The 27260-nt window shown below is 45.0% G+C and overlaps 1 protein-coding gene across 368 annotated transcripts in view, besides 2 other annotated features; it reads left to right on the top strand.

The window, feature by feature from the left end:
• Window positions 1–22041, top strand: part of BRCA1 (BRCA1 DNA repair associated) — a 126033-nt gene extending 103992 nt beyond the window's left edge. For 347 of the 368 annotated variants that reach the window (NM_001408458.1, NM_001407967.1, NM_001407959.1 and 344 more), the window contains 7 exons: window positions 2385–2462; window positions 2963–3003; window positions 9201–9284; window positions 15219–15273; window positions 17142–17215; window positions 18633–18693; window positions 20534–22041. In NM_001408458.1, coding sequence (NP_001395387.1) covers window positions 2385–2462; window positions 2963–3003; window positions 9201–9284; window positions 15219–15273; window positions 17142–17215; window positions 18633–18693; window positions 20534–20658 — 518 coding nt within the window. In that variant the 3' untranslated portion in view covers window positions 20659–22041. The remainder of the gene's footprint in view (window positions 1–2384; window positions 2463–2962; window positions 3004–9200; window positions 9285–15218; window positions 15274–17141; window positions 17216–18632; window positions 18694–20533) is intronic. The other 21 variants (NM_001407945.1, NM_001407940.1, NM_001407861.1 and 18 more) reach the window with 3 other exon arrangements.
• Window positions 2822–3357: an enhancer, noted in NCBI's record as "OCT4-NANOG hESC enhancer chr17:41214996-41215531 (GRCh37/hg19 assembly coordinates)". NCBI's record gives its function as "activates a minimal SCP1, AML or CMV promoter by ChIP-STARR-seq in primed H9 embryonic stem cells {active_cell/tissue: H9 hESC(primed)}" and the evidence as "EXISTENCE:reporter gene assay evidence [ECO:0000049][PMID:30033119]".
• Window positions 22753–23295: an enhancer, noted in NCBI's record as "H3K27ac-H3K4me1 hESC enhancer chr17:41195058-41195600 (GRCh37/hg19 assembly coordinates)". NCBI's record gives its function as "activates a minimal SCP1, AML or CMV promoter by ChIP-STARR-seq in naive H9 embryonic stem cells {active_cell/tissue: H9 hESC(naive)}" and the evidence as "EXISTENCE:reporter gene assay evidence [ECO:0000049][PMID:30033119]".

Genomic DNA, 27260 nt, shown 5'->3' with positions numbered 1-27260 from the left:
AAAAGTCTGATAACAGCTCCGAGATAGTCTTAACATATGAAAAAGCAAAAAAGGGAGGAGACAGATCATTTGTCCTATACCTTTCTCTTTTAAGGTTTTAATTATAACTTGTGTAATACAGGAGACCTCTGGGTGTTTTTAGTTGACTATAAACTAAATCTGAGTACACATTTCAGGGCTGCTAAAAATGCTTATTTGAAACTGGGCCGTATTAACACAAGCAGAGGCTCTGGAGCAAGTGAAGTACAGATCCAGAGCCCCACTGTATTCTCCAATGGAGTGATTGCCTGAAAGATGATGTCAGTTTTAAGCACCGTGCTTGGTTTTTAACATGGTCACTGACAAATTGGAGAGTGTTTATCCAGAGGTAGATGGTAAAGATACATAAAAGTAACTTGAAATACTGTCTTTTGAAGAAGAAATGAGAAGATTTAAGGAAATAAGACACTGTCTTCAAGTATCTGAAGAACCGTTACCCGGAAGAGAACTGTTATCTGGAACAGGATTAAGACTCACTCATGGGGCTCCAGAAAGCAGACGAGTGCATGGAGGACGCAGAAGATGCAGATTGTGTGGCTCAACTCTAAAATCTTTCTAACAAAATTAGTTCTCTGGATGTGTTCCAGTTCACTTGATGATGATTCTTTTGTTTTTGTTTTTGTTTTTGAGGTGTAGTTTTTCACTCTTGTTGCCCAGGCTGCTGGAGTGCAATGGCACGATCTTGGCTTGCTGCAACCTCCCCCTCCCGGGTTCAAGCGATTCTCCTGCCTCAGCCTCCCGAGTAGCTGGGATTACAGGAATGCACCACCATACCTAATTTTGTATTTTTAGTAGAGACAGGGTTTTTCCATGTCAGTCAGGCTGGTCTTGGACTCCCGACCTCAGGTGATCCACCTACCTCGGCCTCCCAAAGTGCTGGGATTACAGGTGTGAGCCATCGCGCCTAGCCTATGATGATTCTTTTCACAGAGATACAGGCACTTAAGGAGAGGATCTAAACCCCTTGGACACATTGCCGTTGAACTTCTAAGATCTTAGGTTTCCACTTACTCATGAAAATTATACCACAGGGTCAGAGGGTAGTGTTCATTGGAGCCAGGTGCCAGAACAAGTTATTACAAACTACTATTTTAGAGAAAAATGTCATTAAAGTTTAAGATACCTTAAGCTATAGGTTTGCATCAAAGTTAATGAAAGGTAAAAAGATGCCAAGCGTGGTGGCTCAGGCCTGTAATCCCAGCGCTTTGGGGGGCCAAGGCGGGCAGATCACGAGGTCAGGAGATCGAGACCATCCTGGCTAACACGGTGAAACCCCATCTCTAGTAAAAATACAAAAAATTAGCCGGGCATGGTGGCGGGCATCTGTAGTCCCAGCTACTCAGGAGGCTGAGGCAGGAGAATGGCATGAACCCAGGAGGCAGAGCTTGCCGTGAGCTGAGATCCAGCCACTGCACTCCAGCCTGGCTGACAGAGCAAGACTGCATCTCAAAAAAAAAAAAAAAAAAAAATGCAAATCAAATCTAAAGTAGTTCAGTCTTTAAACTCAAAGCCAATACATTTGCTTTGAACTACAAATGAACTGAAGTTTTTAAGTGTAATAAATGTTACTAAATCGGCTTTTGTAGCAGTTAAACAAAAAACTTCAAAAATTGTAAGGATTCTGTGAGGGAGCATGGCTGCTGCTGCTGCTGCTGCTTGCAGATAGCCTGCTGTGTTTAGGATTTAGTTAAATACATTTCTCCTGTTTAAAACTAAATGGTCTTTCCTTAGTTTGCTTAGTTCTTCAGAAGGGCCTTTGAAACACTGGGAAATAAACAAGTGATTCTTTAGCTACTGCTTTCTGAAATACTTATATAAAAGCTCTGCACTGTATTCTCCCATCCCTCTCAGGGGAATATTAGAGGGTTAGGACTCCCCAGGTAGACATTCTAGGGGTGAAAATTTGTCATTACATTGACATTTCAGATTTAGGTTTTCAACAATACTGTTTTCTTCTTTCACATATTGCCATCTAGTAATATAGATGTTCTCCGTCCACATTAATCAAAACTATTGACATGGATAATTCCTAATTCCTTGAACACTATAATGGAGATCTATAGCTAGCCTTGGCGTCTAGAAGATGGGTGTTGAGAAGAGGGAGTGGACAGATATTTCCTCTGGTCTTAACTTCATATCAGCCTCCCCTAGACTTCCAAATATCCATACCTGCTGGTTATAATTAGTGGTGTTTTCAGCCTCTGATTCTGTCACCAGGGGTTTTAGAATCATAAATCCAGATTGATCTTGGGAGTGTAAAAAACTGAGGCTCTTTAGCTTCTTAGGACAGCACTTCCTGATTTTGTTTTCAACTTCTAATCCTTTGAGTGTTTTTCATTCTGCAGATGCTGAGTTTGTGTGTGAACGGACACTGAAATATTTTCTAGGAATTGCGGGAGGAAAATGGGTAGTTAGCTATTTCTGTAAGTATAATACTATTTCTCCCCTCCTCCCTTTAACACCTCAGAATTGCATTTTTACACCTAACGTTTAACACCTAAGGTTTTTGCTGATGCTGAGTCTGAGTTACCAAAAGGTCTTTAATTGTAATACTAAACTACTTTTATCTTTAATATCACTTTGTTCAGATAAGCTGGTGATGCTGGGAAAATGGGTCTCTTTTATAACTAATAGGACCTAATCTGCTCCTAGCAATGTTAGCATATGAGCTAGGGATTTATTTAATAGTCGGCAGGAATCCATGTGCAGCAGGCAAACTTATAATGTTTAAATTAAACATCAACTCTGTCTCCAGAAGGAAACTGCTGCTACAAGCCTTATTAAAGGGCTGTGGCTTTAGAGGGAAGGACCTCTCCTCTGTCATTCTTCCTGTGCTCTTTTGTGAATCGCTGACCTCTCTATCTCCGTGAAAAGAGCACGTTCTTCTGCTGTATGTAACCTGTCTTTTCTATGATCTCTTTAGGGGTGACCCAGTCTATTAAAGAAAGAAAAATGCTGAATGAGGTAAGTACTTGATGTTACAAACTAACCAGAGATATTCATTCAGTCATATAGTTAAAAATGTATTTGCTTCCTTCCATCAATGCACCACTTTCCTTAACAATGCACAAATTTTCCATGATAATGAGGATCATCAAGAATTATGCAGGCCTGCACTGTGGCTCATACCTATAATCCCAGCGCTTTGGGAGGCTGAGGCGCTTGGATCACCTGATGTCGGGAGTTCAAGACCAGCCTGACCAACATGGAGAAACCCCGTTTCTACTAAAAATACAAAATTAGCCGGGCTTGGTGGCACTTGCCTGTAATTCCAGCTACTCGGGAGGCTGAGGCAGGAGAATCACTTGAACCTGGGAGGCGGGGGTTGCAGTGAGCTGAGATCGCATCATTGCACTCTAACCTGGGCAACAAGAGCAAAACTCCATCAAAAGAAAAAAAAAATCGGGTGCAGTGGCTCATGCCTGTAATCCTAACACTGTGGGAGGCCAAGACAGGCAGATTGCCTGAGCTCAGGAGTTCGAGATCAGCCTGGGCAACATGGTGAAACCCTGTCTCTACTAAAATACAAAAAATTACTCAGCGTGGTGGCATGCGCCTTTAGTTCCAGCTACTCAGGAGGCTGAGGCAGGAGAATCTCTTGAACCCGGGAGGTGGAGGTTGCAATGAGCCAAGATCGTGCCACTGCACTCCAACCTGGCAACAGAGCGAGACTCCGTCTTAAAAAAAAAAAAAATTTTGCAGCGCAAACCAGGATATCCTCTGTTCTCATTTGTTCTAGATTTCAAAAGAAACAGTCCTTTCTTTGGGGAAAAGAGAAAGGAAAAGGAGTTTTATAAAAGGAAAGAAAAGATTCATAAGAACAAGAAGTGGGCCCACTTGCATATACCTTTGTAGAAAACTGTTCACTGTTGTTGAAGAAAAGCTCTTCATATTAATATGCAGTCCAGATGCAGTGGCTCACACTTATAATCTCAGCCCTTTGGGAGGCTGAGACAGGAAGATTACTTGAGGCCAGGAGTTTGAAACCAGCCTGGGCAACATAGTGAGACTCTGTCTCCACAAAATTTTTTTTTAATTAGCCGGGCATGGCAGTGTGCTTCTGTAGTCTTAGCTACTGAGGAAGCTAAGCCAGAAGAATCACTTGAGCCCAGGAGTTCAAGGCTGCAGTGAGCTATGATCATACCATTGCACTCTTGCACTTGCACAGAGCAAGACCCTGTCTCTTAAAAAAAAAAAAGTGTGTGTGTGCATATGCATATATACATATATATACATGCAAATGTATCTGTTTATAATTCAGATTGCTTCAAAAAGATGTTGCACTTTATGATACTGAGAACAGTGAGAAGTAAATAAGATAGAGTGTAGGAGGAGGAATAATTTCAGAACAGCCATCTGAGAACTTCTGTGACAACAGATCAGGCAAAATGAAATGTGAAAGTAATTTTATAGGCCAGGCGTGGTGGCTCATGCCTATAATCCCAGCACTTTGAGTGGCCAAGGCAGGTGGATCACTTGAGGTCAGGAGTTCGAGACCAGCCTGGTCAACATGGTGAAACCTTGTCTCTACTAAAAACACAAAAAAATTAGTCGAGCGTGGTGGCATGTGCCTGTAATCCTAGCTGCTGGGGAGGCTGAGGCAGGAGAATCACTTGAACCCGGGAGGCGGAGGTTGCAGTGAGCCTAGATTGCACCACTGCACTCCAGCCTGTGAGACAGAATGAGACCCTGTCTTAAAAAAAAAAAAAAAGTAATTTTATAAACTATTGTGCACAATTCGATGTATTCATAATTAATTAAATGATTATTTTTGTTGGTTTTAACTTTTATTCAGTGGCTATTTATTGGGAGCCTACTGTGTTCTGGGCACTAGGAATGCAACAGTAAATAAGACTAACTAAGTCCCTGGTAGGATTCAGGTTCTGTCGAGGGGAGATACACAATAAAGATGAATTTAAGATAACAATAAATGCTATGGAGAAATATACAGAACAGTGGAATAGTATTAGCTGTCAAAGGTTGTTGATTACTTTCGTTTAAGGAGGCCAGGGAAAGCCTTTCTGAAAAAATTGAGCTGAGACCTAAATAACAAGAAATAATTGTCCTTGAAAAATGAAGGGAATGCATCTTATAGGCAGAGGAATAGCAAACATAAAGGTCTTGAGGTAATAATGAGTGTGGTTTTTTGATTTCTGTATTTTGGTTTTTTTGAGATGGTGTCTCCCTCTATCCCCCAGGCTGGAGTGCAGTGGCACAATCTTGGCTCACTGCAAACTCTGTCTCCTGGGTTCAAGCAATTCTCCTGCCTTGGCCTCCTGAGTAGCTGGTATTACAGGCACGCGTGCTACCACACCCGACTAGTTTTTATTTTTAGTAGAGATGGGGTTTTACCACGTTGGTCAGGCTGGTCTCAAACTCCTGAACTCAAGTGATCCAACCACCTCAACCTCCCAAAGTGCTGGGATCACAGGTGTGAGCCACTGTGCCCGGCCAGAGCTTGGTTTATTTTTTAAAAGATAGGCCAATGTTGGTCGTGTGTGGTGGCTCGTGCCTATAATCCCAGCACTTTGGGAAGCCAAGGCAGGCAAATCACTTGAGGTCAGGAGTTCGAGACCAGCCTGGCCAACATGGTGAAACCCCATCTCTACTAAAAATACAAAAAACTAGCATGGTGTGGTGGTGTGTGCCTGTAATCCCAGTGCCTGTAATCCCAGCTACTCCAGAGGCTGAGGCAGGAGAATCACTTGAACCGAAAGGTAGGAGTTACAGTGAGCCAAGATCGCATCACTGCACTCCAGCCTGAACGACAGAGCAAGACTCCTGTCTCAAGAAATAATAATGATAAAAGGTTCGGGCACAGTGGCTCACACCTGTAATTCCAGCACTCTAGGAGGCCGAGGCAGGCAGATCCCCTGAGGTCAGGAGTTTGAGACCAGCCTGGCCAACGTGGCAAAACCCCATCTCTACTAAAAAATGCAAAAATTAGCTGGGCACGGCTGGGTGTGGTGGCTCATTCCTGTAATCCCAGCACTTTGGGAGGTCAAGGCGGACAGATCACTGAGGTAGAAACCCTGTCTCTACTAAAAATACAAAAATTTGCCCAGCGTGGTGGCGCGTGCCTCTAATCCCAGCTACACGGGAGGCTGAGACAAGAGAATCACTTCATCAACCCGGGAGGTGGAGGTTGTGGTGAGCTGAGATCGCACCATTGCACTCCAGCCTGGGCAACAAGAGTGAAACTCCATCTCAAAAACAAAAAAAAATTAGCTGGGAATGGTGGCATGTGCCTGTAATCACAGCTACTTGGGAGGCTGGGGCAGGAGAATCGCTTGAACCCAGGAGGCGGAGATTGCAGTGAGCTGAGATTGCGCCACTGCACTCCAGGCTGGGCGAAAGAGCAAGACTCCGTCTCAAAAATAATAATAATAATAATAATAGGCCAGTGTAGCTGGAGTAATTTGCAAATTATGTGTGGAGGCAGAGATTACACAAGGAATGGGAGAAGGTCATAGATGAGGGCCAGATCACATAGTATTTGGTGGTAAGGAATTCAGATTTTATCCTTGTGGTAATTGGTGGTGTGGAGATGGTTAAAAACAAGGTTGGTTTGGGATGGGTTTGAAGAGAGGACTTGCTAATGGATTAAATTTGGAGGATAAGGTAAAGAGAAATTGAAGGAGTGACACTTGGGTTTTGGCTTGAACAATAGATCTTGTTAGTAATATTAAATTAGATGAAGAAGGCATGGTAGGGAATATGGGGGAGTGGGAAAGGCAGGAAGCAGGAATGGAACCAGGAACTCTGTTTTAGATGTGAGAATTTGTTGTTGTTGTTGTTGTTGTTGTTGTTGTTGTTGTTGTTGTTGTGACAGCATCTCGTTCTGTTGCCCAGGCTAGAGTGCATGGAGTGCGGTAGCACGATCTCAGCTCACTCCAACCTCCGCCTCCCGGTTCAAGTGATTTTCCTGCCTCAGCCTCCCGAGTAGCTGGGATTACAGGCACCTGCCACAATGCCTGGCTAATACTTGTATTTTTAGTAGAGATGGGGTTTTACCATGTTGGCCAGGCTGGTCTTAAACTCCTGACCTCAGGTAATCCACCCACCTCGGCCTCCCAAAGTGCTGGGATTGCAGGTGTGAGCCACTGTGCCCGGCCAGATGCATGAATTTTGAGATGTATACTAGACTTCTGGATAGAGAAGTTAAGTAGGCAGTTGGACACATTGTATGAAGCTCAGGGGTACAAGGAGGACTATGAACATGGGAGTCTTCTGACAAATTTATCACTAGACTCCTCATTCAAGTAACTAGGAAATGTCAGATATTCTTCCCCTAGTAATAGCCAGTGGTTATACTCTTGCCTTTAGTTTTCTTCACAATACTCTTGGCAACACATAAGGCCTTCCCTACAATCTGAGTTTCAGTCAGAATTGTTTCTGAGCGTTCTTCCTCAAATTTCTCCCCAGTCTCATTATTCTTTATTCTCATGTCCATGACCAGTCATAATAGTAATTATGAAAAACCTCTAACTTTCTTTAGTGCATTGAATGTATATTTTATCATTTTGGTTGTGTTAACTGTAAATCTCTCAGTGGAAATCTGAAAAGCCTTTATTTCCTTAGATGATAATATACAATTGATTTAGGAGATAGGGAATTTTTCAGTTACCTTTATAACAGCACAGTATTAGCAGTCTAATCTAAATGCTAAGTGAATGTTTTGAGAGGAGATAGATGTTGAAAATTAAAATACATTAAGTCCCAGTGAGGTGAAAAGCCGATTGTTAAGTTCTGCACACAAAAGATTTGCTTCAGTGAATTGATTTCAACAGCTGAGATCCTAGTCATTTCACCTGGTCTACCAAAAAGAATGATTTTACTTGCTTTTGGTCAAATCTCTGCCCAGCAATTCTTTTTCTTTCTTTCTTTTTTTTGTTTTATGTGTGTGTGTGTGTGTGTTTTTTTTTAGCAGAGTCTCACTTTGTCACCCAGGCGGGAGTGTGGTGGTATGATCACAGTTCACTGCAGCCTCCAACTCCTGGGCTCAAGTGATCCTCCAGCTTCAGCTTTTCAAGAAATTGGGACTGCAGGCACATGCAACTATGCCTGGCTGAGGTTTTATGTATCTTTTTTCTAGAGAAGGGGTCTCACTGTGTTGCCCAGCTGGGTCTCCAGCTCCTGGTCTCAAGCTGTCCTCCTGCCTCAGCCTCCCAAAGTGCCAAAGTGCTAGGGTTATAGGTGTGAGCCATTGGTGCCCAGCTACTGCCTGCCTGGCAATTCTGAATGCCTTAAATTTTTTTTTTTTTTTTTTTTTTTTTTGAGACAGAGTTTCACTCTGTCACCCAGGCTGGAGTGCAGTGGCATGATCGTGGCTCACAGCAACCTCTGCCTCCTGGATTCCAGCAATTCTCATGCCTCAGCTTCCCGAGTAGCTGGGACTACAGGTGCATGCCACCACGCCCAGCTAATTTTTGGTTTTTTTGTTTGTTTGTTTGTTTGTTTTGAGACGGAGTCTCGCTCAGTTGCCCAGGCTGGAGTGCAGTGGCGTGATCTCCGCTCACTGCAAGCTCCGCCTCCCGGGTTCACGCCATTCTCCTGCCTCAGCCTCCCGAGTAGCTGGGACTACAGGCGCCTGCCACTACACCCGGCTAATTTTTTTGTATTTTAAGTAGAGACGGGGTTTCACCGTGTTAGCCAGGATGGTCTCGATCTCCTGACCTCGTGATCCGCCTGTCTCGGCCTCCCAAAGTCCTGGGATTACAGGCGTGAGCCACCACACCCGGCCTAATTTTTTTTTTTTTAATTTTATTTTTAATTTTTTGAGATGCGAGATGGAGTCTCGCTCTGTTACCCAGGCTGGAGTGCAGTGGCACCATCTCAGCTCACTGCAACCTCCACCTCCTGCATTCAAAAGATTCTCCTGCCTCAGCCTCCCAAGTAGCTGGGATTACAGGTGCCTGCCACCACGCCCAACTAATTTTTTGTATTTTTAGTAGAGATGAGGTTTCACCATGTTGGTCAGACTGGTGTCGAACTCCTGACCTCAAGTGATCTGCCTGCCTCAGTCTCCCAAAGTGCTAGGATTACAGGGGTGAGCCACTGCGCCTGGCCTGAATGCCTTAAATATGACGTGTCTGCTCCACTTCCATTGAAGGAAGCTTCTCTTTCTCTTATCCTGATGGGTTGTGTTTGGTTTCTTTCAGCATGATTTTGAAGTCAGAGGAGATGTGGTCAATGGAAGAAACCACCAAGGTCCAAAGCGAGCAAGAGAATCCCAGGACAGAAAGGTAAAGCTCCCTCCCTCAAGTTGACAAAAATCTCACCCCACCACTCTGTATTCCACTCCCCTTTGCAGAGATGGGCCGCTTCATTTTGTAAGACTTATTACATACATACACAGTGCTAGATACTTTCACACAGGTTCTTTTTTCACTCTTCCATCCCAACCACATAAATAAGTATTGTCTCTACTTTATGAATGATAAAACTAAGAGATTTAGAGAGGCTGTGTAATTTGGATTCCCGTCTCGGGTTCAGATCTTAGCTGATAAGTGGAAGAGCTGGGACTTTAAGCAGATGAGAATCTAAAGACTTTGCTCTTTTCACTTCACTGGGGTGTCTTTCTCTCTCTCTCTCTTGCTCTCTCTCTCTCTTTTTTTTTTTCCCAAGACGGAGTCTCACTCCATTGCCCAGGCCAGAGTGCAGTGGTGCGATCTCAGCTCACTGAAAACTCATCTTGCCCAGGCTGGTCTTGAACCCCTGACCTTGTGATCCTCCCGCCTTGGCCTCCCCAAGTGCTGGGATAGGCGTGAGCCACCGTGCCCAGCCAATAATAGCTAAAATTTATATAATGTTCACTGGGCCAGGCACAGCGGCTCGTTCCTGTTATCCCAGCACTTTGGGAAGCTGAGGCAGGCAGATCGCTTGAGCCAAGGAGTTCGATACCAGCCTGGGCAACATGGCAAAACCCCATCTCTACCAAAAAAAATATACAAAAATTAGCCAGGCGTGGTGGCATGTACTTGTAGTTCCAGCTACTCGGAAGGCTGAGTTGAGAGTATCTCTTGAGCCCAAGAAGAGGGGACTACAGTGAACGGAGATTGCGCCACTGCACTCCAGCCTAGACGACAGACAGAAGATCTCAAAAGAAAAAAAAAAAAAAAAGATCACTTTATGCTGGGACTGCTCTAAAGGCCCAACCATGTTTTAACTAATTAACAATTTTATGACAACTCTATGAGCTATGTACTGTAATTATGCCTATATTACAGATGTGAAAATTGAGGCTCAGAGAGGTTGAATAAGTTGCTCAAAGTCACACAGGTAATAAGTGATGGAACTAGAAGTTGAACTCAGGAAGTCTAGCTCCAAGTCTAAATTCTTTGTTAATTTATTTTTCGGGCCAGAGTCTTACTCTGTCACCCAGGCTGGAGTGCAGTGCCACTATCTCTGCTCACTGCAACCTTCACCTCCCAAGTTCAAACCTTGTTCAATTCTTGTGCCTTGGCCTCCCAAGTGGCTAGGATTACAGGCATGTGCCACAACAACTAGCTAATTTTTTGTCTGATTCTGTTGGCCAGTCTGGAGTGCAGTGGCGCAATCTCAGCTCACTGCAGTCTCCAGCTCCCAGGTTCAAGTGATTCTCGTGCCTTAGCCTCCCAAATAGCTGGGATTACAGGCACGTGCCACCACACCGAGATAGTTTTTTGTATTTTTAATAGAAACAAGGTTTCAACATGTTGGCCAGGCTGGTCTCAAATTCCAGACCTCAGATCATCTGCCCGCCTCAGGCTCCCAAAGTGCTGGGATTACAGGCATGAGCCACTGCACCCGGCCTTAATTTTTATATTTTTATTAGAGATGGGGTTTTGCCATGTTGGCCAGGCTGGCCTTGATCTCCTGGCCTCCAGTGATCCACCCGCCTTGGCTTCCCAAAGTGCTGGGATTACAAGCATGAGCCACTGCACCCGGCCTCCAATTCTAAACTCTTAACAACAATACTATAGTTTCTTGAAAAGTTGTTGAAGGCTTCACGGAGGGAAAAAAAATGGAGCATTCTAACAACTTTGCAGATGAGACCCAAGAAGACTCAATGACTTTCTCCTGATCATATTGTAGCAGATGACTTAGCCAGAACTCTGACTTCCTCACAGGGAGAAAGTCTGCAAGATTTCACACTTACCTGTCAGGCCTGAGCTGGCTGCTTTCTCAGCTCCCTAAGTGCTATGTTCCCAGTCTGCTTTTCTTCCTTTTTCAAGTGTGCACTACCAGGCATTTCAGAACATCCCAGGCTGGTCGCGGTGGCTCACACCTGTGATCCCAGCACTTTGGGAGCCCAAGGCGGGTGGATCACCTGAGGTCAGGAGTTCGAGACCAGCCTGGCCAACATGGTGAAACCCCATCTCTACTAAAAATACAAAAGTTAACTGGGCGTGGTGGTAGGCACCTGTAATCCTAGCTCAGGATTACTCGGGAGGCTGAGGCTAGAGAATCGGTTGAACCCAGGAGGCGGAGGTTGCAGTGAGCCAAGATTGCGCCACTGCACTCTAGCCTGGGGACAAGAGGGAGACTTCATCTCAAAAAAAAAAAAAAAATCCCAGCTGGGCACAGCGGCTCACTTCTGTAATCCCAGCACTTTAGGAGGCCAAGGCAGGAGGATCACTTGAGCCCAGGAGTTCAAGACTAGCCTGGGCAACATAGTAAGACCCTGTCTCTACAAAAAAATTTAAAAATTAATTGGGTGTCGTAGCACACTCTTGTATTCCCAGCTACTCAGGAGGCTGAGGTGAGAAGAATGCTTGAGTCTGGGAGGTCGAGGCTGCAGTGAGCCATGATGGTGCTACTGCACTCCAGCCTGGCCAACATTGTGAGACCTTGTCTCAAAACAAAACAAAACATCCTTCTACTGAGCACTTTCTGTCCCTTTATAGAAACTTAAGAGGGAACCAGTAGAGGTAATTTCCTAAGGAAAACTGCTTTGGGACATGATCACAAATGAAGCCTGGAGTTTTGAACTGCTGAGGTCAGCCTGTTTTTACCTTCTGAGCCTATCAAGTAATTGTTCCAGATGCCAAGAAAAGCTGCTGGCCTTATTTCTGCTTCTGCCTTTACCACAGGGGAGCGCCATGTGAGCCAGTCCTCTGTTTTTCCTCCACTGTATGCTAGGCAGTATTAGCACCAGATTCTTCCCCTCTTTAAAAAGAAATTCTAGTGCTTTGGATTTTTTCCTCCATGCAGAATAGCAATGATGGAAAGTATGTGGTCAAAGTAATGACATTCTGAAAATACTAAATGTCACCATAGTATTTTTCTCTGGAAGAGAAATGTATATGTAGAGGTGAAACTTCAAATTTCTTTTTTTTTTTTTTTAAGACGAAGCTTTGCTCTTCTTGCCCAGGCTGAAGTACAATGGCGTGATCTTGGCTCACCGCAATCTCTGCCTCCAGGGTTCAAGTGATTCTCCTGCCTCAGCCTCCTAAGTAGCTAGGATTACAGGCATGTGCCACCACGCCCAGCTGATTTTGTATTTTTAGTAGAGATGGGGTTTCTCCATGTTGGTCACGCTGGTCTTGAACTCCCGACCCCAAGTGATCCACCCACCTCGGCCTCCCAAAGTGCTAGGATTACAGGCCACCGCGCCCGGCCTGAAACTTCAAATTTCTTTTTTTTTTTGAGACAGAGTCTCGCTATGTCACCCAGGCTGGAGTGCAGTGGCGCCGTCTCGGCTCACTACCAGCTCCACTCCACCTCCTGGGTTCACACCATTCTCCTGCCTCAGCCTCCCAAGTAGCTGGGACTACAGGTGCCCGCCACCATGCCCAGCTAATTTTTTGTATTTTTAGTAGAGACGGGTTTTCACTGTGTTAGACGGGATGGTCTCCATCTCTTGACCTCGTGATCCGCCTGCCTCAGCCTCCCAAAGTGCTGGGATTACAGGCGTGAGCCACTACGCCAAGCCCGAAACTTCAAATTTCTTATCTCATAACTAGGCATCCTCATCACTGAGTGTTAGCCTGGATATAAACATTCCTAATCTTTTGTACTTTTCATGTCAGCATTTGGCTCCACTTGGCTGCCTGGGGAGAACTTCTAGCATTATGAGCATGCAGGTCCTATCAACAGGTTGGGGGTGCGGTTTATTCATACAGGTAGTGAGAGTGGCACAGATGGATGCTGTCCCTTAAAACAAACAGACTTGTCTTTGGGAGCCTGAGGCGGGTGGATCATGAGGTCAGGAGTTCAAGACCAGCCTGGCCAACATAGTGAAACCCCGTTTCTACTAAAAATACAAAAAATTAGCCGGGTGTGGTGGTGTGCACCTGTAATCCCAGCTACTAGGGAGGCTGAGGCAGGAGAATCACTTGAACCCAGGAGGTGGAGGTTGCAGTGAGCCGAGATGGCACCATTGCACTCCAGCCCAGGCGACAGTGCAAGACTGCGTCTCAAAAAAAAAAAAAAAACACACAGACTTGTCCTACTGCCATTTCTTTTCACTCTGGCGGTAAAGTAAGAGAGTGTGTGTGTGTGTGTGTGTGTGTGTGTGTGTGTGTGTGTGTGTTTCTGTCCGTCTGTCTGTCAAGGGGGAGGGTGACCACTTTCTAAAAGGCCATCCGTGTATTTTTAGCTTCCTGATTTTTTTCTCTATCGCAGTCTCTTTGAAGCCAGGTGAATTTTAGGCCTTGGCAATTTTCTTTTTATTGCAATGGGAAGGTCAAGACACTGAGAGTCACCCAAAACATATCCATCCAAAATGATACAATTTTAGGGTTTATTTTTAAGTGATACCCAAGTTATTTGCTAAGAACCTATGCCAGTGTGTTTATGAGAATTTGCACTGTCCCACACTGTTGCCACCAGCCACATGGGACTGTTTAAATTTAAATTTTACAAATTAGCCAGTCATGGTGGTGTGCACTTGTAGTCCCAGCTACTTAGGAGGCTGAGGCAAGAGGATTGCTTGAGCCCAGAAGTTCAATACTGCAGCAAGCTATGATCGTGCCACTGTACTCCAGCCTGAGTGACAGAATGAGACCTCATCTCTTCAAAAAAAAAGAAAAAAATTAAAATATGAAGTTTAGTTCTTCATTCACCCTAACCACATCTCCAGTGCTCAATAACTATATGTGACTCATGGCTACCTTATTAGCATAGATATAGAACATTGTGACTATCACAGAAAGTTGTTTTGAACAGTGTTGCCAAGCCCTGTAAGTGGAAGAGGCAGTGCAGTGTGATCTGTGTCTTCAGGAAACCAGGTAGTCAGACTAGTTCAATGAGGAGAGGCAGAACCTGGCTTCACTTCTAGATTAAAAACTGCTTAGGTGGCCTAAAGATACAATGGCCATTCTCAGAGTAGTGAGAAGGAAGGAACAGATGTTTAGGGGGCTAGAAGAAAGTCAGAGAGGGCCGGGCGCAGTGGCTTATGCCTGTAATCCCAGCACTTTGGAAGGCCAAGACAGGCAGATCACGAGGTCAGGAGTTCGAGACCAGCCTGACCAACATGGTGAAACCCTGTCTCTACTAAAAATACAAAAATTAGCCGGGCGTGGTGGTGCGCGCCTGTAATCCCAGCTACTCAGGAGGCTAAGGCAGGAGAATCGCTTGAACCCTGGAGGCAGAGGTTGCAGTGAGCCCAGATCGCACCACTACGCTCCAGCCTAGGTGACAGAGAGAGACTCCGTCTCAAAAAAAAAAAAAAAAGTCAGAGGAGACAAGGAGCATGTACACCTAAAATCAACATAGACCCCTCTGTTGATGGGGTCATAGTGAGTACTTGAGGTACCAAGTCTGGATAAACATCAAACTTCAGCCAATAACTTTGAGTTTCTAGCCATCCAAGCCTCTTATTAAACATACAGAAGGACCTTTTTTCCCTTGCATCTAACAAGTTAAAGCACCTGCAGAGATCATTAGGGAGGAGCCTTGGCCTGATTGGTGACAAAAGTGAGATGCTCAGTCCTTGAATGACAAAGAATGCCTGTAGAGTGCAGGTCAACTACATATGCACTTCAAGAAGATCTTCTGAAATCCAGTAGTGTTCTGGACATTGGACTGCTTGTCCCTGGGAAGTAGCAGCAGAAATCATCAGGTGGTGAACAGAAGAAAAAGAAAAGCTCTTCCTTTTTGAAAGTCTGTTTTTTGAATAAAAGCCAATATTCTTTTATAACTAGATTTTCCTTCTCTCCATTCCCCTGTCCCTCTCTCTTCCTCTCTTCTTCCAGATCTTCAGGGGGCTAGAAATCTGTTGCTATGGGCCCTTCACCAACATGCCCACAGGTAAGAGCCTGGGAGAACCCCAGAGTTCCAGCACCAGCCTTTGTCTTACATAGTGGAGTATTATAAGCAAGATCCCACGATGGGGGTTCCTCAGATTGCTGAAATGTTCTAGAGGCTATTCTATTTCTCTACCACTCTCCAAACAAAACAGCACCTAAATGTTATCCTATGGCAAAAAAAAACTATACCTTGTCCCCCTTCTCAAGAGCATGAAGGTGGTTAATAGTTAGGATTCAGTATGTTATGTGTTCAGATGGCGTTGAGCTGCTGTTAGTGCCAACATGTTAGTGAGAAAATATCTTTGGATAGGTAAAAATCAAGGAGGAGTTCTCCTCTTCCTAAACCATCTTAATTTACTTACATAGAAGAAAGCACAGCAGCTGGCCCACCACGGACGGGCCCAGAGCAGGGGAAGATTCTCGGTGAACATTTCTTTTTTTTTTTCTTTTTTTTTGAGGTCGAGTCTCTGTTGCCCAGGCCAGAGTGCAATGGCGCGATCTCGGCTCACTGCAACCTCCACCTCCCGGGTTCAAGTGATTCTCCTGCCTCAGCCTCCCAAATAGCTGAGACTACAGGCGTGTGCCACCACGCCCGACTAATTTTTTGTATTTTTTTTTTAGTAGAGACGGGGTTTCACCGTGTTAGCCAATATGGTCCCGATCTCCTGACCTCGTGATCCACCCGCCTCAGCCTCCCAAAGTGCTAGGATTACAGGCATGAGCCACTGTGCCCAGCCCTCTCCATGAACATTTTCTAATTAAACTTGACACTTAATACAATGTTATGCTTAGGACTGCTATAAAGCTTACCTCTGGAGTTGCGCAGCACAAAGGCCTTGGTGTGTGTATAAATTTGGTTTGTTCTTTTCACAGCAAAAGCTACCCACCTTTGCCTCCTGTGCCTGCTTCTGCCCAGGGACTTAGGTCCTCTTACACCTTAGAGAAAGGCCTTAGCATCTGGTCACAGGCAGATGAGTGACAGCAAGAAAACCTGGCTGCAATGTAATTTTGTTTCCATCCTCTTTATTAGTTATCAATTGGATTTTTATGAAATTTCCAAGTTCCACTCAAGGATTTCTCAGTGTTTTTTTACTTTGGTATAGTGGAAACCAGGGTTGCCAGAAAGTATTATTTTGGGGGTGAGTTAGTCAACCTTCGTTCAGTCAGACAGACAGGAGCACCTCAGCAATTCCCAGAAACGGGCTGATGGGAAAGAGCAACATACATGAATGTCTTGAAGAACACAGCCAACAGAGCCCATTGGGCAGTTCTGATTTTCCAGGTACACAGCATCTCCACAGTCTCTTCTGATTTTTATTCCCCTGAGTATATGGATTCCAGCTCAGCATGTAGCCTTTCCCTGCTGAGTCTCTAACCAGGATAACATGTATTTTTTTGACTGGATGAATTATCTTCCCATCTCTTGACATTTACAGTAATTACCACCAAGTATGGTATTTTCAGTGGCCGTGATTATCAGTTACCAACACAGAATTAGGATGAAGGGAGGAAGGGAGGGAAGGAAGGTGGGTGTTTTTTCACACAGTGTCTTAGCCAGCAATTTAGCAAATTAATGGAAATTAGATCTTTGATTTTTTTTTCTTTCAAGCATTTTATTTGAGAGACTATCAAACCTTATACCAAGTGGCCTTATGGAGACTGATAACCAGAGTACATGGCATATCAGTGGCAAATTGACTTAAAATCCATACCCCTACTATTTTAAGACCATTGTCCTTTGGAGCAGAGAGACAGACTCTCCCATTGAGAGGTCTTGCTATAAGCCTTCATCCGGAGAGTGTAGGGTAGAGGGCCTGGGTTAAGTATGCAGATTACTGCAGTGATTTTACATCTAAATGTCCATTTTAGATCAACTGGAATGGATGGTACAGCTGTGTGGTGCTTCTGTGGTGAAGGAGCTTTCATCATTCACCCTTGGCACAGTAAGTATTGGGTGCCCTGTCAGAGAGGGAGGACACAATATTCTCTCCTGTGAGCAAGACTGGCACCTGTCAGTCCCTATGGATGCCCCTACTGTAGCCTCAGAAGTCTTCTCTGCCCACATACCTGTGCCAAAAGACTCCATCTGTAAGGGATGGGTAAGGATTTGAGAACTGCACATATTAAATATACTGAGGGAAGACTTTTTCCCTCTAACTCTTTTTCCCATATGTCCCTCCCCCTCCTCTCTGTGACTGCCCCAGCATACTGTGTTTCAACAAATCATCAAGAAATGATGGGCTGGAGGCTGGGCATGGTGGCTCATGTCTGTAATCCCAGCACTTTGGGAGGCCGAGGCAGGTGGATCACTTGTCAGGAGTTTGAGACCAGCCTGGCCAACATGGTGAAACCCCATCTGTACTAAAAAAAAAAAAACAAAAAGTAGCCAGGCCTGGTGGAGCATGCCTGTAATGCCAGCTATTTGGGAAGTTGAGGTGTGAGCATCGCTTGAACGTGGGAGGCAGAGGTTGCAGTGAGCCAAGATTGCACCACTGCACTCCAGACTGGGTGACAGAGTGAGACTTTGTCTAAAAAAAAAAAAAAAGAGAGAGAGAGAAAAGCTAGGTGCGGTGGCTCACGCCTGTAATCCCAGCACTTTGGGAGGCTGAGGTGGGCAGATCACGAGGTCAAGAGATCGAGACCATCCTGGCCAACCAACATGGCGAAACCCCGTCTCTACTAAAAATACAAAAATTAGCTGGGCGTAGGGGCGCACGCCTGTAGTCCCAGCTACTTGAGGGGCTGGGGCAGGAGAATCGCTTGAACCCCGGAGGCGGAGGTTGCAGTGAGCCAAGATCGCGCCACTGCACTCCAGCCCGGGCGACAGAGCGAGACTCCGTCTCAAAAAAAAAGAGAGAGAGAGAAATGATGGGCTGGGCCAGTGCCCCACCCCTGTAATCACAACACTGGGAGGCCAAGGTGGGAGAATCGCTTGAGCCTGGGAGCTGAAGACCAGCCTGGGCAATACAGTAGGACCTCATGTCTACAAAAAAATTATTAAAAATTAGCCAAGGCTGGGTGCGGTGGCTCATGCCTATAATCCCGGGGGTGAAGTTGAGCCCAGGAGTTTGAGACCAGCCTGGGCAACATGGCAAAACCCTGTCTCTACCAAAAATACAAAAAAATTAGCCAGGGGTGGTGGTACGTGTCTGTAGTTCCAGCTACTTAGGAGGCTGAGATGGAAGGATTGCTTGAGCCCAGGAGGCAGAGGTGGCAGTGAGCTGAGATCACACCACTGCACTCCAGCCTGGGTGACAGAGCAAGACCCTGTCTCAAAAACAAACAAAAAAAATGATGAAGTGACAGTTCCAGTAGTCCTACTTTGACACTTTGAATGCTCTTTCCTTCCTGGGGATCCAGGGTGTCCACCCAATTGTGGTTGTGCAGCCAGATGCCTGGACAGAGGACAATGGCTTCCATGGTAAGGTGCCTGCATGTACCTGTGCTATATGGGGTCCTTTTGCATGGGTTTGGTTTATCACTCATTACCTGGTGCTTGAGTAGCACAGTTCTTGGCACATTTTAAATATTTGTTGAATGAATGGCTAAAATGTCTTTTTGATGTTTTTATTGTTATTTGTTTTATATTGTAAAAGTAATACATGAACTGTTTCCATGGGGTGGGAGTAAGATATGAATGTTCATCACAAAAACATAAATCAAGGCCGGGCATGGTGGCTCATGCCTATAATTCCAGCACTTTGGGAGGTCAAGATGGAGGTCAAGGTGGGAGCCTAGAAGTTCGAGACCAGCCTGGGCAACATAAGGAGACTTCATCTGTACAACAAATTTAAAAAGTAGCTGGGTGTGGTGGCAGATGCCTGTAGTCGCAGCTACTTGGGAAGCTGAGGTGGGAGGATCACTTGAGCTCAGGAGGTTGATGCTTCAGTGAGCCACGATCACACCACTGTACTCCAGCCTGGGCGACAGAGCGAGACCGTGTCTCAAAAAGAAAAAAGAAAGTATAAATTTACACAAAAACAATAAAATAATCCCAGTAATTCCACCACTTGGAGATGATCACCATAAAACTCCACCAGGCATATGTGCGTATATATACACGTGTATTTTATAAAATGTGATCATAATTACACTGTTTTGCTTTTTTCCTTAAGATATTACATACATTTTTCCACATCGTTAAATTACAGTGCTGTTTTCCTGGTGGCTTTCCTTTAACAGATTGAAGTTCATGTTAATACAGTTGCCAGAGGCTGTGGGCTTTCACTGTCACCAGGAGTCACTCCTAGGGCCTCTTCAGAGCAAGGCCTTATGTCCTGAAGCATTGCCTTTTTTTTTTTTTTTTGAGGTGGAGTCTCACTCTGTCACTTAGCAGGCTGGAGTGCAGTGGCCCAGTCTTGGCTCACTGCAACCTCCGCCTCCTGGGTTTAAATGATTCTCCTGCCTCAGCCTCAGGGCGGATCACCTGACATCAGGAGTTTGAGACCAGCCTGGCCAATATGGCGAAACCCCATCTCTACTAAAAATACTAAAAAAAATTAGCCAGGCATGGTGGCACGCACTTGTAGTCCCAGCTACTTGGGAGACTGAGGCAGGAGAATCGCTTGAACCCAGGATGTTGAGGTTGCAGTGAGCTGAGATCACACCATCACAATCCAGCCTGAGTGACAGAGTGAGACTCCATCTGAAAAAAAAGAAAAAACAATTAGCCTGGCATGGTGGCAGGCACCTGTAATCCCTGCTACTTGGGAGGCTGAGGCAGGAGAATTGCTTGAACCCGGGAGGTGGAGGTTGCAGTGAGCTGAGATCGTGCCATTGCATTCCAGGCTGAGCAACAAGAGCAAGACTCCGTCTCAAAAAAAAAAAAAAAAAAAAAAAAAGGCCAGGTGCAGTGGCTCACGCCTGTAATCCCAGCACTTTGGGAGGCCAAGGTGGGTGGATCACCTGAGGTCAGGAGTTCCAGAGCAGCCTGGCCAACATTGTGAAACCCCCGTCTCTACTAAAAATACAAAAATTAGCTGGGTGTGATGGCATGTGCCTGTAATTCCAGCTACTCAGGAGGCAGAGACAGGAGAATTGCTTGAACCCAGGAGGCGGAGGTTGAATGAGCCGAGATTGCGCCATCACACTCTAGCCTCGGCGACAGAGCAAGACTCCGTCTCAAAAAAAAAAAAAAAAAATTAGCTTCTACCTCATTAATCCTAAGAACTCATACAACCAGGACCCTGGAGTCGATTGATTAGAGCCTAGTCCAGGAGAATGAATTGACACTAATCTCTGCTTGTGTTCTCTGTCTCCAGCAATTGGGCAGATGTGTGAGGCACCTGTGGTGACCCGAGAGTGGGTGTTGGACAGTGTAGCACTCTACCAGTGCCAGGAGCTGGACACCTACCTGATACCCCAGATCCCCCACAGCCACTACTGACTGCAGCCAGCCACAGGTACAGAGCCACAGGACCCCAAGAATGAGCTTACAAAGTGGCCTTTCCAGGCCCTGGGAGCTCCTCTCACTCTTCAGTCCTTCTACTGTCCTGGCTACTAAATATTTTATGTACATCAGCCTGAAAAGGACTTCTGGCTATGCAAGGGTCCCTTAAAGATTTTCTGCTTGAAGTCTCCCTTGGAAATCTGCCATGAGCACAAAATTATGGTAATTTTTCACCTGAGAAGATTTTAAAACCATTTAAACGCCACCAATTGAGCAAGATGCTGATTCATTATTTATCAGCCCTATTCTTTCTATTCAGGCTGTTGTTGGCTTAGGGCTGGAAGCACAGAGTGGCTTGGCCTCAAGAGAATAGCTGGTTTCCCTAAGTTTACTTCTCTAAAACCCTGTGTTCACAAAGGCAGAGAGTCAGACCCTTCAATGGAAGGAGAGTGCTTGGGATCGATTATGTGACTTAAAGTCAGAATAGTCCTTGGGCAGTTCTCAAATGTTGGAGTGGAACATTGGGGAGGAAATTCTGAGGCAGGTATTAGAAATGAAAAGGAAACTTGAAACCTGGGCATGGTGGCTCACGCCTGTAATCCCAGCACTTTGGGAGGCCAAGGTGGGCAGATCACTGGAGGTCAGGAGTTCGAAACCAGCCTGGCCAACATGGTGAAACCCCATCTCTACTAAAAATACAGAAATTAGCCGGTCATGGTGGTGGACACCTGTAATCCCAGCTACTCAGGTGGCTAAGGCAGGAGAATCACTTCAGCCCGGGAGGTGGAGGTTGCAGTGAGCCAAGATCATACCACGGCACTCCAGCCTGGGTGACAGTGAGACTGTGGCTCAAAAAAAAAAAAAAAAAAAGGAAAATGAAACTAGAAGAGATTTCTAAAAGTCTGAGATATATTTGCTAGATTTCTAAAGAATGTGTTCTAAAACAGCAGAAGATTTTCAAGAACCGGTTTCCAAAGACAGTCTTCTAATTCCTCATTAGTAATAAGTAAAATGTTTATTGTTGTAGCTCTGGTATATAATCCATTCCTCTTAAAATATAAGACCTCTGGCATGAATATTTCATATCTATAAAATGACAGATCCCACCAGGAAGGAAGCTGTTGCTTTCTTTGAGGTGATTTTTTTCCTTTGCTCCCTGTTGCTGAAACCATACAGCTTCATAAATAATTTTGCTTGCTGAAGGAAGAAAAAGTGTTTTTCATAAACCCATTATCCAGGACTGTTTATAGCTGTTGGAAGGACTAGGTCTTCCCTAGCCCCCCCAGTGTGCAAGGGCAGTGAAGACTTGATTGTACAAAATACGTTTTGTAAATGTTGTGCTGTTAACACTGCAAATAAACTTGGTAGCAAACACTTCCACCATGAATGACTGTTCTTGAGACTTAGGCCAGCCGACTTTCTCAGAGCCTTTTCACTGTGCTTCAGTCTCCCACTCTGTAAAATGGGGGTAATGATAGTATCTACCTCCTAGGATTTATTGAGGCAGCTTAAATACCTTTTGTATTTCCTGTTGCTGCCAAAACAAATTGTTGCAAGGTCAGAAGTCTGAGGTGGCTCAACTGTTTCTTTGTTTCAGGTTTCATGAGGCCAAAATAAAGGTGTTCGCAGGGCGTGTTCCCTTCTAGAGGCTCTGGGTCCTTGCAGTTCTAGGACTAAGATCCCTGTTTCCCACTGGCTGTTGGCTGGGCATCATTCTCAGCTTCTTGAGGCTCCCCACATTCCTAGGCTCCTGGCCTGTCTGCCTCCATCTTCAAAACCAGCAATGGGTGGTCAAGTTTTTCTCACACTGAATCTTGCTGACTACTGTATCTTTCTAACTCCTGCCAGAGACATTTCTCTGTTTCTAAGGGCTCAAGTGATTAGATTGCACCCACTTGGTAATCCAAAGTGATCTTCATATCTTAAGGCCCATAGCCTTAATTATAGCTGCAAAGTCCCTTCGCAGCAGTACCTAGATTACTGTTGGAATGAATAACCAGAAGACAGCAATCAAGGGAGGACATCTTTAGAATTCTGCCTACCACTTGTATTTAACATGCTTAATCCACAGATGACACTCTCTACCATTATTTCCTGGTCCTCACACTGCTCAGAGATTGGAATCCTTTTTGAGCAAAGAGAATGAAGTCATCACATAGTTCAGTCCTGCTGTATTTGCTGGAAACAGTGAAGGAAGATAGAGAAAATGGAGCTAACTGCCAATATTACATTTTATATCAGTCTTCATCATAGCCCTATGAAGTGGGTATTTGTTACCTCATTGGAAAAATGGGAGTTGAATCTCAAGTTCCTTGTTTGTAAGATTTTACTCAGATTTGCACAGCTAAAAATGACTACATGGAGACCCAAAGCCACCTTTCTGTTCCCATCATCAGCTTTCCATCTGCCTCTGTCACTGACCCCGGGACAGAAGGTTCAAGCCTTAAGGGAATTTGGAGAGAGAACTAGATTTTGAGGGGAACTCACACTCACTTCCCTTTTGGGCCACAGTAGGAGACAGTAAAAGCAGCCCCATGTCAGGCAAAGGGTCTTACAGGAGTGGATCATGGCTGCTGTTTCCACTTCTCTCTGGCTTCCCAGCTTATGACTGTGTATCTTAGTTGTCAAAGCCTTCCAGTTCATCCTCACCTACAGCTTGACTTCCCAAGGGCCCATGCCAGCTCCCTGTCTACCTGCCAGTGAGTTGATGAGTCTCGGTGTTAGTAGTAAAGGCAGGCGGGAAGCAAGCAGAAGTGCTACTGGGCCTTGAGGGTAAGCCAGGCCTCAGCCTTCTGACCCCATCACTAATGGGTTAATAGGAAAAGCAGTATCCATCTAGTACAGCCTGCCTTTTCAGGAATAGTGAGTAAAAGCAAAGATGACTAAAATACATTAAAGTTTTCTGTAATTGTCTCTAAGGTCTCCCAACAAACATATACCCCATCTGTTTCAAGCTCTGCATAACCTTTCCCAGAAGTCAAGTTCAGGCCCTGGCCTCATGGTGCCTGGCCCAGGTTAAGAGTGCTACCTGATGATGGAGTTAATACACGTTGCTTTGACCTCTGACTTTAAGATGTCCTCCCACTTTTCCACCCCGCAATCTCTAGCCCTCTCTGGGCACAGCAGCAATTGGGAACTAGTTCCTGTACTGCCTTTATCTCATTTTACAAAACAAACTTCTACAAAGAAGCTGGAAAGGAAGGAGGAGAAAGGATTATCATGCAGGCACAGGGAGGGGGCCTAGAGAAGAGCTCTGGCAGATTATGTCCCTCTTAAAAAATGCAACCAGAATCATCAACAAAGTATCACCTCAAAAATATGCAGGAGAAAAAGAAAGGAATCAATGTTGGGGTGGTTGGAGCAGAAGGAGCCAAACTGCCCAGAAGGTGTCCTCTGAAGGCTGCGAGGAGCAGATAAGGTCAGCCCCAGAGGCAGATGGCACACACAGAATGGCAGGATGAGGGGGAGCTGCAGATTTATGCAAAGAAGCCCTAGAGAATGGGGCCTGCTGCCCAGGGAATGTGGGGGCTCACTTATCAAAGACTACTGGAAAATGGCTGAGCCGGCAACCCCTTCCACTACAGTGATGCCTGGTTTTCTTGAACAGCCTGTAACTCTGCCTGTAACAAGGAGAAAATTAAAGCAACGAATCTGGCCAAATAGAAAATTAAGGAAAACTAGAAACAGCTCCTATGGAGAGCAGGGATTGGGGAGGTGTAGAGGGGCTGATCCTGAATGTCTGGAGGATCAGGAAAATGTAAGCAATTGTTTAAGGGACTGGTAGGAATCAAGATCTGGAGAGAGATCCTCCCGACTCTGGTGGCTGGGGAATATGAACTGTGGAGACATGGTTTCAAGGACTCAAAATGATATGACAGCTTAACATTTACAGTTCAGTGCAGAGGCTCTCAAAGCATGATCCCCTGATAGGAGTGTGAGGGGGCAACACCATCACCTAGGAATTTGTTAGATATGCAAATTCCCAGACCCACTGAATCCCAGACAGGTGGGGCCAGCAACCTGTGAATCTACAACAGGCTCAAGTTTGAGAACAAATGACTTAGTGTAAGGGGCTGCTAATTGATATAAAATGTTACCTGTGGTCTATTATTTTGTCTGTAGTGAATATTGGGCTTGTTAAGGATAAATAAGGTTTGTGGGCTGGTAAGTGGTTCTTCTCTACAAGGTTGCAACAGCTGGCTTCAGTTAACTTCAAAAAGGCCCTTTAAGCAAAGACAGTAGTCCCCCCACTCATCCATGGTTTTGATTTCAGTTACTTATGGTCAACCATGGTCCAAAAATATTAAAAGGAAAATTCCGGAAACCAGTCACTCGTTTTAAATTGTACACCATTCTAAGTATTGTTTGACTTGTTCTATTTTATTATTAGTTATTGTTGTTAATCTCTTACTGTGCCCAATTTATAAATTAAATTTTATCATAGGTATGTATGTATAGGGAAAAACATAATATATATAGGGTTTGGTACTATCCGAGGGTTCAGGCATCTACTTGTGGTCTTGGAACATATGCCCCGCAGATAAGGGGGGACTGCTGTACAATGCAAAGGACAAAGATTAAATTATATTAGCAATCTAGGAGCAGAAGGGCAAGACTGCTTTTTTAAAAAACAGCTAAAGGTTTAGGAGGTTTTATTAATATTTAAATTGTATTGAAACCACAGCTGCAGCCTTTGACTCCAGCATAGAGATATGCAAATATGGCTTTCAAAAGAAAGGCAATTTCAGACAGCCCTCAAAGTAACAAGAACAAATAAAACAAATGATTTTGTAATTTATCTTTATTGACTGATGTTGCACAAGGCACAGCCCATACCCTGTGAGAGTCAGCAACAGCCGAGCTCTCTGAGGAGAGAAGAGAAAGCCAGGCTGGAGGGAGAGGCAGGCCGACCCATAGACAGGTGACAGGAAAGACACAGAGCAGGCAGATGGGAGAAGAAGACAACTAAATTAAAAGGGAAGGAAAATAAAAACCCAGCCCTGGGTCCTGTAGACCATCTGATCTTGCTGGCTCTCAGCAGCAACAACAATAATCATTAATGACTATCATTTGCCACACTACTACTAAGTGCCATGCACTATTCCTCACATACAAATGAGGAAAATGAAGCTTTGAGAGGTCAAGCAACTTACCCAAGGTCACACAACAAAAGGAAGGGGCAGAGCCCAGATTCAAAGATTTGTGTGAGGCTGAAGCCCTGTGCTCTTTCCAGTGCATTATGCTGGGAACCAGTCCTGGGAGGCAGTGAATAACAATAAGGTTAATGGGCCGGGCGCAGTGGCTCATGCCTGTAATCCCAGCACTTTGGGAGGCGGAGGCGGGCAAATCACGAGGTCAGGAGATCGAGACCATCCTGGCTAACATGGTGAAACCCTGTCTCTACTAAAAATACAAAAAATTAGCCGGGCGTGGTGTCGGGCACCTGTAGTCCCAGCTACTCAGGAGGCTGAGGCAGGAGAATGGCATGAACCTGGGAGGCAGAGCTTGCGGTGAGCCACGATCGCGCCACTGCACTCCAACCTGGGTGACACAGTGAGACTCCGTCTCAAAAGAAAAAACAAAACAAAACAATAAGGTTAATGATTGAGGGGACACTTTGTGCCCAGTTCTGTGGTATTCTGTATGGGCATGCGTGTGTCTGTGTGTGTGTATATGTATGTAACTGTGGAAAAGAGGGTGAAAACCTCCATTTCTGACCTTCAAATTGGTTACTATCCAATGAGTAAGGCAAGAAAAGAAAGCCAAAGAAAACTTGCAGAATTCTGGTGTAAAAGTTCTTTTGGGGCCGTGTGGTGGGGCCAGGCTCTGCCTGTTGTGGGAGACTTCTGGTGGAGGCATCTCAGCTGGGCCTTGGGCCTTGAGTAAAATTTAGCCAGATGAAAAGGAAAGCTGGAGATTACACAGGCCCAGGTGAGAGCCTCCAGCTGCTAGAATTGGAGGAAGGAGCACCTGATTCAGAGAGATGAGAAAAGGCAAGAGAATCCTGAAAGGATACATATCTCTGACCCTTTGTCCCCATCCAATCTCCCCAGACCTTCCATCCCAAGCCCAAACACAACCTTACCTGCTGCTCCTTTTCAGGCACCCTGGCCACCAAATATAGGAACCCATAAATTTTGCTCATACTCTATGTTCTACTAGGCAAGTCCTGATCTGTCATCTCTACAGGCCCCAATCCTTCCCGCTCACCCCTACAGAGCCTTCTCCAGGTTTTCTAGGCCAGAATCTCTCCCCACTTAGAATACTCCAGAAGTTTTGCTTTATTTGTGAGACTTTATTCAATTGAAGTTACTTGTGTGCATATGTTATCCTCTCTATTTGACTAGAAGGTCCTTATAATCCCTTATGACCATAATTATTTTATCTTTGATATAACCCAGCTCTGTAACTAGCAGATACTTTGTTAGGCATCCAGTGGGTTTTTCCTAAATGAATGAAGTAAAGGATGAATGAATGGACTCAGTGCATTGAAGGGCTTATCCAACTATTGGTTCCACTCTCAAGACCTTTGGAAAACTAGCCATGTTCTGGAATGCTAATTCCCTTCAATGCCTTTCGCCCATTTTTCTATGACCCTG

The sequence above is a fragment of the Homo sapiens genome, chromosome 17, assembly GCF_000001405.40.
Source record: "Homo sapiens chromosome 17, GRCh38.p14 Primary Assembly".
Lineage (NCBI taxonomy): Eukaryota > Metazoa > Chordata > Mammalia > Primates > Hominidae > Homo > Homo sapiens.
Note: the sequence above shows the minus strand (reverse complement) of the source record. Positions and strands in the feature narration are given on the sequence as shown.